Source organism: Homo sapiens, chromosome 16 (assembly GCF_000001405.40).
Source record: "Homo sapiens chromosome 16, GRCh38.p14 Primary Assembly".
Classification (NCBI taxonomy): domain Eukaryota; kingdom Metazoa; phylum Chordata; class Mammalia; order Primates; family Hominidae; genus Homo; species Homo sapiens.
In genome coordinates this window covers 89,128,828-89,147,039 of record NC_000016.10, presented here as the reverse complement: position 1 = coordinate 89,147,039, position 18,212 = coordinate 89,128,828, and the positions used below count along the sequence as shown (strand labels likewise).

Sequence of the window (18,212 nt, the reverse complement as noted above, 5' to 3'; positions counted from 1 at the left end):
CTGTATAGCCTGTGGAACCATGAGCCAATTATACCCCGTTTCTTTATAAATTAAAAAAACAAAAGAAATTACTGTAGGTGAAACTAAAAGCTTCCTTTCTGAGCTCAGCCTGGCTCTGCCCTGACGGTCCTATGGGATACCCTTCCGTCCTGACGGCCTTTGACAAGGCCATAGCTCAGGTTCAGCCCTGGGCGTGACCACCACCACTGCTGGCAAAAGTGGAGGGTCTGTGGATCCCATGCATCAGAAACCACTGGGGGTGAGACAGGTGGGAGAAAGTCCTTGGGGAAAGGTTCTGGGTAAGGTAAAGGCAAAACAAAAAATGCAGGTGAGTTTAAGGACTGGGTGGTGGCCACCGCTGAGGAACAGGCCCTGCCCTGGACATGGAGGGGAAAGTGAAATGACTGAGGGGATGGTGATGGTGCTGGGGTCTCCGTGGAACTGACTGGAGGTGTGTGAGGCACCTTCAGGACCCACCCCCAGGGCAGGAGAGGGAGAGGCCGTGCAGGTGCCGACGGAGAATGGGTGGGCCTTGCAGTTCTGCTGGGGCCCAGCACTGGCTTTGGGGCGGCAGGTGGACAGGCTGCCTGTGGCCTGGCGGGGAAGGGCCCAGCGCGTGCGGCCAGCTGGTGTCAACCCTGGATCTCAGCTCCATGCACCTCCTGCATGGGCCTGGCCTGGCTCATCCGGGATCTCTCCTGGGACCAGGACGGAACCCACCACAGGCCGTACAGGGCCCTGTCCCAGGAATGTGAGTTTCTGCCCCCTCGGAATATTGCCACCAAGTCAAATCTGAGCACGGCTCCTGCCCCCTGCCCTCGTCTCTACCTGCTGTGTGCGGCCTTCAGGTCTCTAAGGACCCTCACTGCTGGTCTTTCTTGATCCCTCATCTCCACCTCTAAGACGGACGATGCCAATACCTAGGGTGGCCCTCAAGACTGGACCCCCAAGACCCCATGAGTGCTCCCTGCCCGCCCCACCCAGCCCTACCTGGCCCACTCTTTGAGCTCCCTGTGGGACAGTGAGTGTCCTTCTCGGAGGGTCACCACAGCAGTGACCCGCTGGCCCCATGTCATATCCGGAACTCCAATCACAGCCACATCTGCGGATAGAAGAACAGTTTGAGAACATGGGGATGCCTCAGTGACCCTTACAGGCCGAAGAGTGCCTGGACACACAGGAAGAGCGCAGTCTGGCCGCAGCCCTGGAGCCCGTCCTTGGACAGGCCCCACTCCAATCACTCGTCCTGGTGCTGGCTGGGCCTGTGGGGAGGGGAGTGAGGACGGGCTCCCCACGGTGGATCTGGGGACTGGGCACTCACAGGGGCTCTGCCTTCCCGCCCCTTGGCTCTCTGCACTCTCCCTGCCACCTTCCTGCAGGGGAATCATGCAGATGGGAGCTGCGCCCGGCCAGGCCTGGGAGCTCTGGTGGGCACGGGGTCAGTGGCTCCAACACCGAGCAGGCTGCACCCCCACTAGCCCCATGTTCCCTGGCCAGGGCAGGGACCAGAGGTGAGCATCACAGGGACCCCTGCAGGCAGCTGGGACGGCGTCGACTCATCTGCAGTCGTCTAAAACTCAAACATGGAAGGCAGCACCCGTCTAGCCTGGCCTCCCTGGCCCAAGTCCGGCCACGCACCTGTGATGCTGGGGTGGGCCAGCAGGTGCCACTCCACCTCCAGGGCGCTGACCTTGTAGCCTCCAGTCTTGATGATGTCCACTGAGGTCCGGCCTCGGATCCAGTACTGGCCATCCTTAAACACCACGGTGTCCCCTGAGGAAAAGGGGCTCTGGTTAACTGGCCATCCTTAAACACCACGGTGTCCCCTGAGGAAAAGGGGCTCTGGTTAACTGGCCGTCCTTAAACACCACGGTGTCCTCTGAGGAAAGGGGGCTCTGGTTACTACCCTGTGGCAACCCCAACGGAGAAACAGCTATGCCAGGTAAGCCCACATTCCTGGTGGTCACGACGTGCGTCCCAAGGTGGGACTGTGCCCATGATGTGGGGTCTGCCCTTCCTGTGGGGTCCCTTCCCCATGCTCAGCTGTATGCACTTCCTCCAGGGGCAGGTCAGCAGTGGGTCCAGAGCCTGCCAGGAGCAGGAGGTGCCAGAAGCCCTGCTGGGCCTGTGGTCTGCAGACACCCTGCATTAGGAAGCCGGCTCAGGCCCTGTTTCTGTGACAGTGATTGATAACCACTGGCCATGGGTGGGATGCGTGGCCTTTTCTGAGCAACAAGCACAGGGTCTGATGCTTTACCCTCCCTCAGGATGGGTGCCAGGGTGTGCTGGGCCTCCTGGCTGTGCTGCTACTGCTGCAAGGGCCCCCAGACGGAGCCCCTGGGACTGCAGCATAGAGGGGCCGCCCCTCATGCAGGCAGGCTGCTCTGGGAGAGGGGCCGAGGCCCACCAGGCCCTGTCCTGCCATTTCTCTCAGGCCCACAAAAGAATCCAGGCCAAATATTCAGTAAAAGAAGTGAACCAGACACATTACAACATCCCACCACGGTGGGCTCCAGCAGTGAATGCCCAGCCCCTCTGGATGGGAGAGGCACCAAGGCCCACGCAGAGGCCACAGGGAGGGGCTGGTGGCTGAGGAGGACAGGGCCTTTCCTGGGTGCCTGGAGCCTCCTGCTGGTGCCCATCTTGTGCCCTCCACACCTGACCATGCTGGTCCTAGAACAATGGCCGGGGCTGCCCCACGTTTTCCTTCCTAAGGCAAAGCCACGACGTGGCCCTTGCTCCTCCCCGTGCAGTTCCTGGAGCTCCTGTGGGAACCAAGCTTCCTTCGTTTTCTTCCTTTCTCGAGTAGCTCAACACAGACACCACCAGCCACTGAGGGTGGGGAGTCGGGAAGAGCGGGCTGCAGCCTCAGAGCCTGTACTCCCAGCCCGAAGCTGTCTCATGACGCATGGGCCCATAGTGTGCGTGCCTGCGAGCGTGTGTGCAGCTGGGAGGGCGCGGTATGCGTGACTGTGAGCATGTGCACGCACACATGTGTGCCGTGGCTGTGGGAGCATGCAGGGCATGTAAGGGCAGTGCTGAGGCCTCAACTGTCTGCTTCCACATACCCTGCACTCCACATGGGTTATTAGCTGGAATAAATCATAAATACTTCATTATACATCATGCTGTTGGACGCAGAAAGGCCCCATCCATCCACCTCACCACTCCTTGAGACCCATGGCGTGCTCCTCAGTCTATTAAACAAGACGGATGGGTGTGCCCAGGTGGGCTCCAGGCTTATTTATGGAGCTCTGGAACTCTGGAACTCTGTGCTGATGGGTAGCAGAAAAACCAGAGGCTCCCCGACAGGAGAGTGGTCTCACTGCGCCCCTGGGGTAGTCTGGGCGGCTGGAAGGGGGTGTGCAGGTTGGGCTGTGGGCGGGGTTGGACACAGCCTGTCCCAAGTCCCGTGGGACCCGCCATGGCTCCTGCTCCTGCTGTGCAGCCTGGCTTGTGTGTCCCCTCTGGACCAGACAGCCACCAATCTTCCAATAGCATCTCTTAATCGCACCGAGCCACCCCGTCCAGGCTGCTCCTGCCCCACGGATGCCACAGCTGCTGACACCAGGGAGGCTGCCAGGTGCTCAGGGCCCTCCATACAGCTTCTGGCCTGGCTCCACCCTGGCCTGCACCACCCAGAGACCCAGCGCAGCATGGAGCCACTGCCCTGCTCTGGTCCTGCCGGAGAGGCCATCACTGCCTGCCCCCAAGGCTGACAAGTCCCCGGCACCCTCTTGAGCTGCCTGTGTCCTGGCTCCAAGGATGCACCACAGTTACTCACGGGGCTGAGGCTGCACCACAGCTACGCACGGGGCTGAGACTGCACCAAAGCTACGCACGGCACTGAGGATGTACCACCGTTACACACCAGGCTGATGCTGGGAGAAACTGGGGGGACGGCACAAGGAACCCCTGTGTGTTATTTCTAATTTCCTGCGAATCTTTTTTATAAGTTTTAAAATGTTGCTTTTTGGTTTATGGAGCAATTTTCTTCCCCATCTCCAGCAGCACCAGCCCCGAGTGGGCTCATGACATGGTGAGTCACGCCAACGTCGGCAATGGATTATGATCGCGCAATAACTTGTTAAAGAACAAACTCACATGAGCTTAATTTATGAATACAAGGAATGAGTGCCCTTCACAGGAGAGGCCCATCAATGGCTGATTAGATGCAAGACCCAACCTCTCCGCCCACTGCGAGACCCCGTCTCCTTAGGTGTGGGTGTGTCTGCAGGTGTGGGTGTGTCTGCAGGTGTGGGTGTCTCTGTAGGTGTGGGTGTGTCTCTGCAGGTGTGGGTGTGTCTATAGGTGTGGCTGTGTCTCTGCAGGTGTGCCTGTATCTCTGCAGGTGAGGGTGTCTCTGCAGGTGTGGCTCTGTCTGCAGGTGTGGGTGTGCCTGCAGGTGTAGGTGTCTGCAGGTGTGGGTGTGTCTGCAGGTGTGGCTGTGTCTCTGCAGGTGTGGGTGTGTCTGCAGGTGTGGGTGTGTCTGCAGGTGTGGGTGTGTCTGCAGGTGTGGGTATGTCTCTGCAGGCGTGGCTGTGTCTCTGCAGATGTGTTATATCTCAGCAGGTGTGGGTGTGTATCCCCAGAGGTCGAAGCCCTGGTGCTGAGATCTCCCAGGAGTGGTGGCACTGAGTATCTGCCCATCCTCTCTGGCTCTGGGCTGTTTCTGGCATGGTCAGGCCCTGAGACCCTGCTGTAGGCCTTGTTTGGGGGTCTCTCCCTGCCTGGGCCTGGCTGCCTCTGCCCCGAGATGCTTCTTCCAGAGCCAGTGCTCAGGAAGGACTGGTGGGGGCAGCTTGGGGAGTTGTCCATTCCCTGGGCCCCAGGCCCCAAATCCCTGCTTCTCAGTGATAGCCCTGCCTGGCCTCCAACCCCAGGGTCGTCACAGGCCCCAGCTGCCTGCTGTGCTGCACGCACGGTTTCCACTGAGCCATGCGGAGGGAAGAACCGTAGGGGTCGGCGCGCAACATGGTGCCATTCCCAGGGCCCCAGGCTTCTGTGCCGGAGAAAGTGGCAGCTATACCTGTCGGAAAAAGGCTGTGTCTGAGACTCCCCCAGCAGCACTGGGCGAAGCCAATCAGTGCAGGACTGAGACCTGTCTCTGTGATGGACGCCTGTCTCGGGGATGATTCTGAGAGGTGCTTCTGTGCCCAGAACTTGTGCGTGGCATGAGGGGACCCTCAGTGCTCAGAGCACGTGTGTGGCGTGCAGGGCCCTCAGTGCATGGTGGCAGTCGTGTGTCCTTCCCACCCTGGGCATCAGAAGGTGGTGCCGCTCTCAGCCCAGCCAGCACCACAGGGCCGGCTCCCCACTCCAGTGTCAGAATCCCCATCCTCACTGCTGCCTGGAGCTCCTTCCAGGGGTAGGGAGAGACTTCCCACTGCCCACAGAGGAAAGCCCAAGTCCCACATGCGTCTCCCGGGCCTGGATGCCTTTGCCCGGACGCCTTGGCCTGGACGTTCCTGGCATCTTCCTGGCAAAGGCCCCCTCTAGGCCGGGGCCCTCCAGGGTCCATCCTGCTGCACAAACATGGCCCCTCTGCCCCAGTACCCCTGCTCCACCTCCTCTGGCCAGTGTCTTGTCTGCAAGGCCTGGGCACCCCCACCCAAAGGGGCGGCCCCGCTGCTTCCCTCCCAGCCCTGAGCTTGCCCCTTGGAACATGTCAGGCTTTGTTCTAGCTTCTCAGCACAGAGCAGTCTCAGCTCCGAGGGTCGACATCTCCCTGCCCATTCCCAGACTACTCAGCGCCCGCCTCACCCGCCTTGCTGTGCCTTTGCCAAGGGGAAAAGTGGCTGGTTTTGTTCTTCCAGGCTGGGACGCTGCTATCAAGGGCTCAGAGGCATCGGAGCCAGGGTTTAAACAAAGTCTCAGCCAAGCAAGAGCGGGTCGGACACCCCGCGGGAGGAGGTCCTGCGGCAGCGAGGGCGACTCAGAAGGTTCAGAGGGCTCCAGGGCAACTTGCGATCACTGTGAAATGCAAGTCAAACAAGTTAAATAACCTTTACTTTCCATAACAACCTATTTATCAAAATGCATCGATTCTGGAATCGGAGTCGGCTGCCAATGGGCTGTGTATGTCCTCGGCCTGATGTGTTCATTAAAGGAGTTTTCTTCTGACAGATACAATGTAGCAATCAATAAACTCCTATTACCTGGATTTATGAGCTGCTTTTGAATTTGGTGCTATTTCATGTCTCTGCCTTCCACTGTAACTGAAAATAAATCTTCCAATACTCAGATTTGAATTCTCTAGAGTGTAGGTGGAGTGAGGTGCTGTGGTCCCCAGTCCCCCAGCGAGAACTTGTCTGTGGGCCTCGGAGGAAGCACTCCTGGCCGGGGGGATGTCCTGACCCGCACGCAAGATAAGAACAGCGCCTGTTCTGCTGTGCAGATGTGGTTCCCGAGCCTGGATCTGGAGTGACACCAGCACCCAAAGCGCGATCCCAGGAAACAAGGTGAAGAGAGGCCCAGACCCAGCCTGTCGGACTTTTGCTCCCAAATGGCACTGATGCCAGCAACAGAATGTGAAGCTTGGCCCCAGTCCTTGAGGAAAGTGCCGAGGGAAGCCCAAGGCCCTGCCCAAGGACCCCGCCCAAGCCGATGCCCTGAGATCTCTGCCCCCAAGTTCTCAGCCTCCAAGCCTGGAACAGGTGCCCGTGTGTGTGTACAGAGAGGCCAAGCCTGGAACAGGTGCCTGTGTGTGTACAGAGGCAGCTGGAAACCAAGTTACGTGAAAGCCTCCACCAGTTACCCCGGGGCACCTGGCCAGGGGAGGTGGCTGCAGGGAGGACAGACTGAGGCTCAGAGGGGCAGTGGGGAAGGCGGCCTCCATTGCGGCCAGGCACAGGCCACCGCCCAGCAGGAGGGAAGGTGCTGGAAGCTCAGGTGCCCGTGGACACTGGAGGCTTCTGCACCTGGACCCCAGTGCCATCCAGGTCTCCTCTGTGGGCCAAGGGTGAAAGAGGCTTCTTGAAGGCAGAGGGAGTCCCAGTGACGGCCTGAGACCCAACTCCCTGACCTGGGCTCAGCGCTCACCCGGCAGCTCCGTGACCTTGGCTCCGTCCTCAGCTGGTGGCTCCTCAACCTGGGCTCAGGGGTCTGGGGACAGAGGACACCCTGTACGTTAAAAAGAGGGGGTCATGGTTGGGTGCGGTGGCTCATGCCTGTAATTCCAGCACTTTGGGACGCTGAGGTGGGGAGATCACGAGGTCAGGAGATCGAGACCATCCTGGCCAACATGGTGAAACCCCGTCTCTACTAAAAATACAAAAATCAGCCAGGTGTGGTGGTGGGCGCCTGTAATCCCAGCTACTCTCGGGAGGCTGAAGCAGGAGAATTGCTTGAACCCGGAAGGCGGAGGTTGCACTGAGCCGAGATGGCGCCACTGCACTCCAGTCTGGCGACAGAGCAAGACTCTGTCTCGAAAAAAAAAAAAAAAAAAACAGAAAAAAAAAGGAGGGGGTCACCAAGTGCCAGGATTCAGCACGGCTGTGGCAGCAGCAAATCTGAAGGCCAGAAAATGATAGAGAAGCGACTTCTAACCCTGAACCCTATACGCAGCCAAACCGACAAGCAAGGCTGAGGGCAGAACGAAGACCCGGAGAGACACGCAAGTCTCCAAGTACGGACCCTACACACCCGCCTCAGGAAGCCCCAGGGGAAAGCAGTCCCCACAGCTGGGGGCGGAAGAGGGAAGACGAGGATGCTGTGGGCTGGGAGCCGACGTCCTGACCCGGTAGGAGGGAAGGGGTGGTGGTGATGGGGAAGGAGGCGCCATGGGGAGACCAGCCCAGCCCACGAGGAATTGGCACCAGGAGACCAAGAAAACCAAGACTTTCCCGACTCTGGAAAACAAAGAAAGAGGAAAAACCTCAGTGTCTCCTGGGCTCAGTTCTCAGCGGCGACTCCATAGTCTCAATAGTGCAGATGCCATACGGGACTGAGCCGGGCCGTGCCTGAGGAGGGGCCTCCTCTGCGGGACTCAAGCCATGGCAGCAAAAAGGAGCCTGGAGGTGGCGGTGCTGGCGGCCCTCGGGATGCGGGGACCGCACAGAAGCAGCAGCCGGCGAGTCTGGGGAAGGGGCACGGCTGTGATTCTTCTTCTCAAACTGCTACAACTACTTGGGTGTTTAAGCCACAGGTGTGTAACTTTGGCTTAAAAATAAAAATGTAAAAACACTCAGCCTCTGCCCAGAGTCCTCATGTGTTTTCTAGGGAACCCAGGCTAAGACACATCTGAAGACCATGGCCGCCTCGTGGGCCTGGTGGCCCTGCAGGCTGCACAGAAGGGCATCTTGCAGGAGGGCTGGGGCACCCTCCTCAGCATGGCCCATCAGTCAGCTTGGCACCTGCAGGCAGCAAAACATGGTCCCTCTCAGGAGCTGTCAGCGTGGACATATGGCTCTGAGAAGGGAAGAGAGGGGCTTCACAGCACAGCCTGGCTGAGCGTGGCAGGCCCAGCGAGGTCCCTCTGCCGGATGAAAGGGGCTGGGGCAAGCATGGCCATTTCGGCACCTGTCATCCCCGCGATCGGCTCTGACCTTGGTCGGCACCCTTGGCGCAGAGGCTGGCACCAGCCAGACGAGCCTTGGTTGGGTCTTGGGGCCCCACCAGGAGGCCTGTGTTCCTTCCCTTGCCCCACAGAGATGCCCAGTGTCCTGTGAAGGCAGCATGGCCAGGAGGGTTTTGGTCAATGAGACAAAGGCCCCAGGGCTTCTGAAAAGGTCCCTCCCCTGGACGAGGGGACAGCTACAGGAACAGCCCAGGTGCCCCCACCTGACCTCAAATGTGCCATCAGGCCTGGGGCTCAGCGTCCACCTCGTTACCACAGGGAGAGGCTGTGGGAGGCTGAGAGGCTGTGGGCCGGGACCACGACACTGCCGGTCCCCACTTGGCCTCCACAGTGCCTGCCGGGGAGCTCTGGCGCCACAGGGAATCCCCGGCGGCTGGGGCTGCTGTCCCTCTGATTTTCGCTTCTTGAGGCCAGTGAGTCCCAACTAAGTCACAAGGTCCCTTTAACCCTTTGCCACTGGCCCAGATGTAAGAACCCAACGGCTGAGACCCAGAGGGTTCTGGGGTGCCCAGGGACACATGGAGCCCCAGCTGGGCCCTGGAAGCAGCGGACTCTTGCTCCTACCCCAACACGCCTCAGACAGGGTGACAAGTAAGCTAGTGCCCGGCAGTGGTGCCCATGAGCACGTGGAGGGCCTGGGAGGCTGGGCTGATGTTCAACCTTGGGGGATGGGGCCACCTGGGCCCAGCTCCCTTCTCGCTCCGAGCAGAATTTCTCAGTCTGGGGGTTCTCCAGCCCCCCACTCCCCTCTCCCCATCCTTCCCTGTGAGCTCCTGGTGGTCCTCCTGGGACCTGGGGCTCTTCCCCTCAGTCCTTCCCCGTGAGCTCCTGGTGGTCCTCCCGGGACCTGGGGCTCTTCCCCTCAATCCTTCCCCACGAGCTCCTGGTGGTCCTCCCGAGACCTGGGGCTCTTCCCCTCAATCTTTCCCCGTGAGCTCCTGGTGGTCCTCCCGAGACCTGGGGCTCTTCCCCTCAATCTTTCCCCGTGAGCTCCTGGTGGTCCTCCCGAGACCTGGGGCTCTTCCCCTCAATCCTTCCCCGTGAGCTCCTGGTGGTCCTCCCGGGACCTGGGGCTCTTCCCCTCAATCCTTCCCCGTGAGCTCCTGGTGGTCCTCCCGAGACCCGGGGCTCTTCCCCTCAATCCTTCCCCGTGAGCTCCTGGTGGTCCTCCCGAGACCTGGGGCTCTTCCCCTCAGTCCTTCCCCACAAGCTCCTGGTGGTCCTCCCGGGATCCCTGGCTCTTCTCTAAGGAGTTCGGTTATCAGGTTTCCTCACCCGGCTGGAGCCTAAGACGCCATTCACCCCTGCAGGGATGCCGCCCTGCCCTACCGCCCCTCTCCTGACCCCTGGATGCCCCCAGGAGGGGCTGCTGCTGCTGCTGCTCCCGCATCTGCCCGGCAGAGGTGCCCACCTCCACGTCACCTTCCACTCGCCCCAGGTGGCAAATGTGCGCGTGTGTCTCTGAGCGAGGGCACGTGGAGTCAGAGCATCTGCAGAGATCATTGTGGCCGTCAGAGGAGTTACCTGAGACAGACCTTTGACGTCTGAAGACATCGTTGTGGCCGTCAGAGGAGTTACCTGAGACAGACCTTTGACGTCTGAAGACATCGTTGTGGCCGTCAGAGGAGTTACCTGAAACAGACCTTTGCCATCTCCTTGAGCAGCAGCGGAGACCCCTGGCCTCACAAGCCCGCTGTGTGATCTTGAGGCAGAAGCGGGCTGTAGGCACAGAGGCAGGTGGGGGAGGCAGGAGCGGCTGGCATCAAAGCTGGCAACCTCTCCTCTCATCCTGACCCGGAGGAGGCCGTTGGGGAGCTGCAGGCCGGCCTCGGCCATCCTCAGCTGTGTCCAGCCATCCCTGGCTGTCCCCTGTGCCCGCCGGCTTATGCCAGAATCCGTGTGGCAGGAGGGGCTGGCCAGGGAAAGGGTTAAGTTTAATTTCTCCTGATTTCTATTTAATATCATGCTCTCCCGGCAGGAGCGGCAGCTGTGAGCTGATTGCAGGCTCTCATTATGCAGCAGCATCGCTAATGGCCTGTGACAAAGACATGCGGCTTCCAGGCCTTACCCCCGAGAGCCAATTAAACACACATACTCCCTTCCTGTTTGCAGCACATTACAATGAAATTAAACTGAATTTCAAAATCATTTTCTACTAAAGACATCTCTGTACAATAATTAATGCATGTGATTCCGCCCCGGCTGAAACATGCCTCAGCACTGGCGACTGCGAGTGTTTCCACGCTCGCAGCCCCGCATCTCACACGGCTGCCCTCCCAGCGGCTCCGGGAGCCCCGCGACTCGCAAAATCCACAGGGCTGTGGTTCCTGTGCTTTCAAAGAAGAAAACGTCTTCAGCTTTTACCTGAATTTAAAAATACAAGAACCGGCCAGACGCAGTGGCTGACGCCTGCAATCCCAGCACTGTGGGAGGCCGAGGCGGGCGGATCACCTGAGGCCAGGAGCTCGAGACCAGCCTGGCCAACATGGCAAAACCCTGTCTTTACTAAAAATACAAAAATTAGCCGGGCGTGGTGGCGGGCGCCTGTAATCCCAGCTACTTGGGAGGCTGAGGCAGGAGAATTGCTTGAACCCGAGAGGCAGAGGTTGCAGTGAGCTGAGATCGTGCCACTGCACTGCAGACTGGGCGACAGAGCGAGACTCCGTCTCAAAAATAACTAACTAAATAAATAAAACAACTGCAGCGTGAGTCGGATTGGGGTCGGGGCATTCAGAGGGCACTGGAGGGATGCTCAGAGCAAGACCTGCTCAAGTCCGGTTCCTGTAATTCTGCATTTGAAGGGAAGTCATGGACAGGCTGTTTCCCCAGATCAGCATGCGCTAATGGGGATGTATAAAAAAGATAAATTGGGAGGGAGTGTTTGATGTGCTGACCACGTCCTGTCACAGAGAGGCTTCTAGGGCCCCAGCCCTGGGTCCTCTGCTGATGTCCAGCCCACGAAGGTGCCTCCCAGGGTACCTTGGGAAGCCTATGAGATGCTGCGTGGGGCACTGGCCTCTGCTCTAGGGGCTCACGGAGCCTTCACTTTGCAAACGTGCGGAACTGCCACACACCTAGCACACCTGCCTCACAGCAGCACATGCTCCAGGGCCTCTGGGACCCACAGGATCAGGCCATGAGGCGGAGAGGCTGCAGGCCAACATTGCCCCTTCCAGCATCCCTCAAGGAGCCCATCCCGCCTGCACGCTGCAGCCCCCCGCTCTGCTCCCTGTGGAAGGGCATGGGGCAGATGCGTTTCTGATTTTGGGCCAGCAGATTCTGATGCATGAAAATGGGCCTCTTTTTTTTGGAAAATATTACTTAAAGGTTATTATAAAATAATGATGTTCAGCATAAAATATAGACAGGCCAAAAAAAAAAAAAAAAAAACCAGGAAAAGAAAAACCACCGCAATCTCACCACCCAGGGGTCAGGAGCAACGTGCACATCTTCCGGATAAATACACTACAGTGAGTACCTGCAGCCACACAACCACGTGTGTCCACTCTCCAAATGTCCACCCACGCACGTCTGCTATCCAAATATCCATGGACATACGTCCACTATCCAAATGTCCATCTGAGAGACAGGACTAGCTGGATTTCCTAGGCCGACTAAGAATCCCTAAGCCTAGCTGGGAAGGTGACCACATCCACCTTTAAGCAGGGGGCTTGCAACTTAGCTCACACCCGACCAGTCAGGTAGTAAAGCGAGCTCACTAAAATGCTAATTAGGCTAAAACAGGAGGTAAACAATAGCCAATCATCTATCTCCTCAGAGCACAGCAGGAGGGACAATGATCGGGATATAAACCTGGCAACGGCTGCCCTCTCTGGGTCCCCTCCCTTTGTATGGGAGCTCTGTTTTCACTCTATTAAATCTTGCAACTACACTCTCTTCTGGTCCGTGGTAGTTACGGCTCAAGTTGAGCTTTCGCTCGCCGTCCACCACTGCTGCTTGCCGCCGTTGCAGACCCGCCGCTGACTTCTATTCCTCCGGATCCCGCAGGGTGTCCACTGTGCTCCTGATCCAGCGAGGCACCCACTGCCACTCCCGACTGGCCTAAAGGCTCGCCATTGTTCCTGCACGGCTAAGCACCCACGTTCATCCTAATCAAGCTGAACACTAGTCACTGGGTTCCATGGTTCTTTTCTGTGGCCCACGGCTTCTAATAGAGCTATAACACTTACCGCATGGCCCAAGATTCCATTCCTTGGAATCCATAAGGCCAAGAACCCCAGGTCAGAGAACACGACGCTTGCCACCATCTTGGAAGCAGCCTGCCGCCATTTTGGAAGCTGCCCGCTACCATCTTGGGAGCTCTGGGAGCAAGGACCCCCTAGTAACACATCCACATACGTCCGCTATCCAAATGTCCATCCATATACGTCCACTATCCAAATGTCGAAATATCCACTGTCCAAATACGCCCCATGGGGCGGGATGTGGGATCCTGGGACCAAGCCAGCTTCTCACAAAGGAGGGGGGTCAGGCAGCAGCAGCTCAGGGCAGGCTCAGGGAGAGCAGGAGGGTGGCAGTGGGGGCTGCCAGCAGGCTCCAGGGGCGCCGCCGTCTCTCCTGACCGCCACAGGCTTCCTGGGCCACCTCAATCAGGTGGGCAGGTTCCCACTCACCCACAGGCCTGTTCTGGCAGGCAGAGAGAATGTGCTAATTTGTGGAACAGTAAACAAACAGCCGCACTGCAAACCAACCGCACTGCGTCAGCTGACTTCTGACTCTGGTGGGGAGAAGGATGTGGAGGGCACAAGTGTGGCTAAGCGTGGGGGTGGTGAGGTCTCTGGGTACAGGGGTACACCTCGGAGGTGGAGGGTGCCCCAGCCCACGAGGGGCAGCAGGGCCACCAGGAAGGGCTGCGTGGGGCCCGGCGTCTGTGGTCAGGGTGCGTGCGTGCCGGAGCGGCTGTCGCGCTGAGGGACAGTGTAGAAGCCTTGTCATGGGGCACTGGGGCCCCTGGCACTGAGGGACAGGGCCAAGGAGCCCACTCTAGAAGCCGGTGGGGAGGCCGGGTGCTCAGGAGGCAGTGCCGTAACAGTGGCCCCCAGCCCCACTCCACCCCATCTTCTGCCTTTGGCTGAAAATTCTGGGAACTCCCAGCCTCGGTGTCACTCAACGTGGGCAGCAATGAGTTCCTGCCTGTCCCCTCGGGGTCTCCTCCACTCCCATGGGGCTGGGTCCTACCTGTCTTAAACCAGCCATCCAGGGTGAATGCACTCTTAGTTTCTTCTGGTTTATTCCAGTATTCTCGAAACACGGAGGGTCCCCTCACCAGCAGCTCCCCCTCCTTTTCTTCAAACCCTGGGGTCACCTGTGGAGGATGAAGAACATGGAGGTCAGAGCTGGGCACACCCTCTTGGGATTGGTGCTTTCTGAAACTGTGGGCTGCTCCCTGCCCACCCAGGGCCCACCCAGGGCCGCGTGCTTTCTGAAACTGAGCGCTTTGTTGGAATGCTTGGAAAACGCAGCTTTGACAGGTGGAAGCCAACCATGCTGAGCTAAGCATTCCCGCCGTCCTCTGTGGGCCCTGGTGCCCTGGCCGGGAGCTGGGTGTCCTTTCATTCCTCCCAGAACAGCCACAGAAGAACGTGCTCCTACCCCATCCTCTAGACTTGAGCATGTTACCGGCCCAGGCCTCAGCACTCAGAGCCTGGGCTGGATTCAGGCAGCCTGTCCACGTCTAAAACCTGTGCCCAAATCCCATCTTCGGGGGCGTTTCTCAAACCAGGGAACACAGCAGCGGGCACCTGTCCACACCTTGCCCACAGGGGCTGGGGCAGCTTGGAGCGGGCAGCGCCCTCCACAGGGCTGAGTGACCAATTACAAGAGGGAAGACTCCGTGGGAAGGGAAGGTGGGGCCTGAGGGTGGAGGGTCCCTGGAGGCCCCTGTTAAGCATGCAGGCACTGCCATGGCCCCAGGAAACACAGCCTCACTGTTCTTCTATTGTGACCATGGAGAGGGCGGGAGGGAGGCTGGGTTATATGAGCCTGGGCTGGGGGTCCCTGCAGCACCAGGAACAGATGGCACGGGAGGCCCTGGACACGGTGGGTCTGTGAAGACACCGGCCGAGCCCTCGGCTCATAGGTCAGGAGGGTCTGGGGAGGGCAGAGAAGGAGCAGGGGCTTCAGATGAGCAGCTGCCAGCTCCACGACCCTCACTCTTCTCTACTGTGAAAGTGACTGGCTGTGACCCCGGAGGTCAAGGGATGCGTACAAGAGTCTCACTGAGGCTCATCACCTGCCATCTGGAATGGACTTCAGAAAACCAGGGGCCAGGGAAGTAGCTGCGAAATAGCAGAACACACTGATCTGATGTGGAGAAAGGGCGCTCAAACGCCGTGGGGCCAACACTGCCCCATGGCAGCCTCTGCCGAGTGTGTCGTCCTGCTGCCAACCCGCCAGCCTGGGCTCCTCCAGGAGGGGCTGACGCCACCCACGGGGGTGAAACACCTGCCCCACATGATGACGGGGCTGCCAACCCGCCAGCCTGGGCTCCTCCAGGAGGGGCTGACGCCACCCACGGGGGTGAAACACCTGCCCCACATGGTGACGGGGCTTTCCGTGCAGTGCCCAGCCTAACTCCTGGCTGCTCAGAGCCTTGTGTTTGTTTTTTCAAAGAAACCACGGACTTTATCTGAATTTCGTGAATTTTTCCACTGCTGTCCTTTATCTGCTCCACTGACGTGGTCAGACTGGCCACTGGTCAGTACACTTGTGGGACATGTAGAGACAGCAAGGCAAAGGCCCTACAAATAAAATGACAATGAGACCAATCCCAGGGAAGGAGGGTCAGACTTTGTAGAGTTAAGCCAACCAAGTCACAGTAAAACAAACACCTCAACATCTTCACAGAATGTCAACAAGACCAAGAATCTCATCCCTAACATTAAAAATATCCAGGGTACAATACAAAGTTACTCAACACGGGAAAAAACCAGAAAAATAGCAACTCATATAGAAAAAGAATACAACAGCACTGAGACAACACAGTTATTGGAATTATCTGAGAAAGACTTTAAAGCACTATTATAAAAATGCTCCAAAAAGTAAGGGCACACTTTGGGAGGCTGAGGCGGGCAGACTGCTTGAGCTCGGGTGTTTGAGAACAGCCTGGGCAACATGGCAAAACCCTGTCTCTACAAAAAAGATAAAAACTAGCCAGGTGTGGTGGTCAGTGCTTGTAGTCCCAGCTACTTGGGAGGCTGAGGTAGGAGGATCGCTTGAGGTGGAGATTGCAGTGAACCAAGACTGCAGCCCTGCACTTCAGCCTAGGTGACGGAGTGAGACCCTGTCTCAAAAAAAAAAAAAAAAAAAAAAAAGAAAAAGAAAAAGAAAAAGAAAGAAAGGGCAAACACTTGGAAATAAATGGAAAAACAGAAAGTCTCAACAAAGAAATAACAGATATAAAGCAGAACCAAACAATAATTTAAAAACTGAAAAATACAGAAATAAAGAATCTCATGGATTGGTTCAGGAGCAGGACGATGAAGAAACGAACGTGACAACTTGAAGACAGAGCAACAGAAATGACCCAAAATCTGAACAGCAGAGAAAAATCACCAGGAAAGTCAACACACAGAGGGCTAACGTTCATGCTACTGGAGTGACAGAAGAAAAGATAACACTTAGGTGCACAAAGTCGTTTGATAAAATTTGGCTAAAAACCCAAAATTTGGTGAAAACATAAGCCTATAAACTAAAGAAGCTGAGAGAATCCCAAACAGGACAAACCAAAAGATGTCCAAGCCCAGACACATCATAATCCAATCACTGACACACAGAGAGGAACAAGGGTTCCTGCGCCCACTGATTTCTCCACGGAAACAATGGAGGCCGGAAAGAAGTGGAGTTATATTATTAGTAGTATTTTTTTGAGACAGACTCTCATTCTGTCACCCAGGCTGGAGTGCAATGGCATGATCTCGGCTTACTGCAACCTCCACCTCCCAGGTTAAAACAATCCTCCAGCCTCAGCCTCCCAAGTAGCTGGGATTACAGGTGTGTGCCACCATGCCTGGCTAATTTTTGTATTTTTAGTAGAGACAGGGTTTCCCCATGTTGGCCAGGCTGGTCTCAAATTCTTGACCTCAGGTGATCCACTCCCACCTTGGCCTCCCAAAGTGCTGGGACTATAGGCATGAGCTGCCACATCCAGCCAAGAATCATATTTTTAAAGTGCTGAAAGAAAATAGTTGTCAACCCAGAATTCCTAATCCAATGAAAATATCCTTCAGGAAGGAAGATAAAGACATTCTTAGATGAGGAAAAATAAGGTAATTTGTTGCAAGCAGATCTGATCTAAAAGAATTCCTATAGAATGTCCTTCAGACAGAAAGAAACTGGTATCAGAAGGAGACTTGGTATATTGGGAATACAGGAAAAGCAACAGAAGTGGCAAATATTTGGATGAATGAAGTTGAGTTCCTTTCTTCTCAAGTTCTCTGAAATATTTTTGACTGTTGAAAGCAAAAATTACCATTTTGTCTAACGGAGTTTACAACAAATACAGGTATTACACTGACTACACTCTAAAGGCAGAGGGTAAGTAACCGATGTGGAGGCAGGGATGTGGCTCTACATTCTTCTGGAAGTGTTAAAATGTTGACTTTAAGTAGACTGTAAAAAAGGAAGTATGTATATTGTAGTTTCTGGAACTACTACTAAAAAAACTATGCAAAGACATTTATGGTCAAAAACTTAAGAGACAAATTAAAATGGAATATGAAAAAATAACCTCAAAGAAGGCAGTAAAGTTGAGCAATAAAACTCTCAGGGAACAATAGTAAACACATAGTAAAATGGTAGGCTTAAATTCAAGCACATCAATAATTACATTAAATGTAAATGGTCTAAACATACCAATTACAAAGCTTGTCAGGCTGGATTTAAAAAACACACATAATCCAACTGTATGCTGTGTATAAGAAACTTGCTTCAAATACAATTACACAGGTAGGTTGGAAGTAAAGGGATAGAACAATAAATACCATGCAAACTCCAACCGAGAAATTAAAATAGCTATAATAATATCAAAGTAAACTTAAGAGCAAAGAGCATTACCAGAGCATTAAATGTTAATAAGAGTCAATTCACCAATAAGACACAATCATTATAAATGTGAATGTACCAAACAACAGACTTTCAAAATATATGAAGCAAAAACTGAAAGCAGAAACAGGCAGTTATAGTTGGAAAATTCAACCCCTCACTTAGTAACAGAACAAGTGGTGAGAAAACCAGCAAGGATATAGAAGAACTGAACAACACGATCAAACACCTTCATCTAATTTACAGAACAGACATTTCCTAAAACGAGCAGGACACACACTCTTGCTCTGTCAGGCTGGAGTGCGGTGGCATCATCACAGCTCACTGCAGCCTCAAACTCCCAGATTCAGGCGATCTTCCCGCCTCGGCCTCCTGTGTAGCTGGGACCAAAGGCATGTAACACCATGCCCAGCTATTTTTTTTTTTCCAACTTTTTGTAGAGATGGGGTCTCACTATGTTGCTCAGGCTGGGCTCAAACTCCTGGGCAGTGATTCTCCTGCCTTGGCCTCCCAAAGTGTTGGGATTACAGGTGTGAGCCACTGCGCCTGGGCAGAATATATACTCTTTTCA

General features: G+C 56.0%; 1 protein-coding gene across 8 annotated transcripts in view, besides 1 other annotated feature; it reads right to left on the bottom strand.

Moving 5' to 3' along the window:
- The window catches only part of ACSF3 (acyl-CoA synthetase family member 3), a 62,382-nt gene that overhangs the window by 9,194 nt on the left and 34,976 nt on the right, over positions 1-18,212 (bottom strand). For 6 of the 8 annotated variants that reach the window (NR_147928.2, NR_147929.2, NM_001243279.3 and 3 more), the window contains 3 exons: positions 13,778-13,904; positions 1,639-1,773; positions 991-1,102 (listed from right to left, as the gene is read on the bottom strand). Coding sequence is in view for 4 of the 8 variants with exons in the window: in NM_001243279.3 (NP_001230208.1) it covers positions 991-1,102; positions 1,639-1,773; positions 13,778-13,904 (374 nt within the window). In the remaining 4 variants the exon portion in view is untranslated. Of the gene's footprint in view, positions 1-990; positions 1,103-1,638; positions 1,827-5,763; positions 5,974-10,210; positions 10,493-13,777; positions 13,905-18,212 lie in introns of those variants that run through there. The other 2 variants (NR_045667.2, NR_104293.2) reach the window with 2 other exon arrangements.
- Positions 12,072-12,971: an enhancer, noted in NCBI's record as "H3K4me1 hESC enhancer chr16:89200477-89201376 (GRCh37/hg19 assembly coordinates)". NCBI's record gives its function as "activates a minimal SCP1, AML or CMV promoter by ChIP-STARR-seq in naive H9 embryonic stem cells {active_cell/tissue: H9 hESC(naive)}" and the evidence as "EXISTENCE:reporter gene assay evidence [ECO:0000049][PMID:30033119]".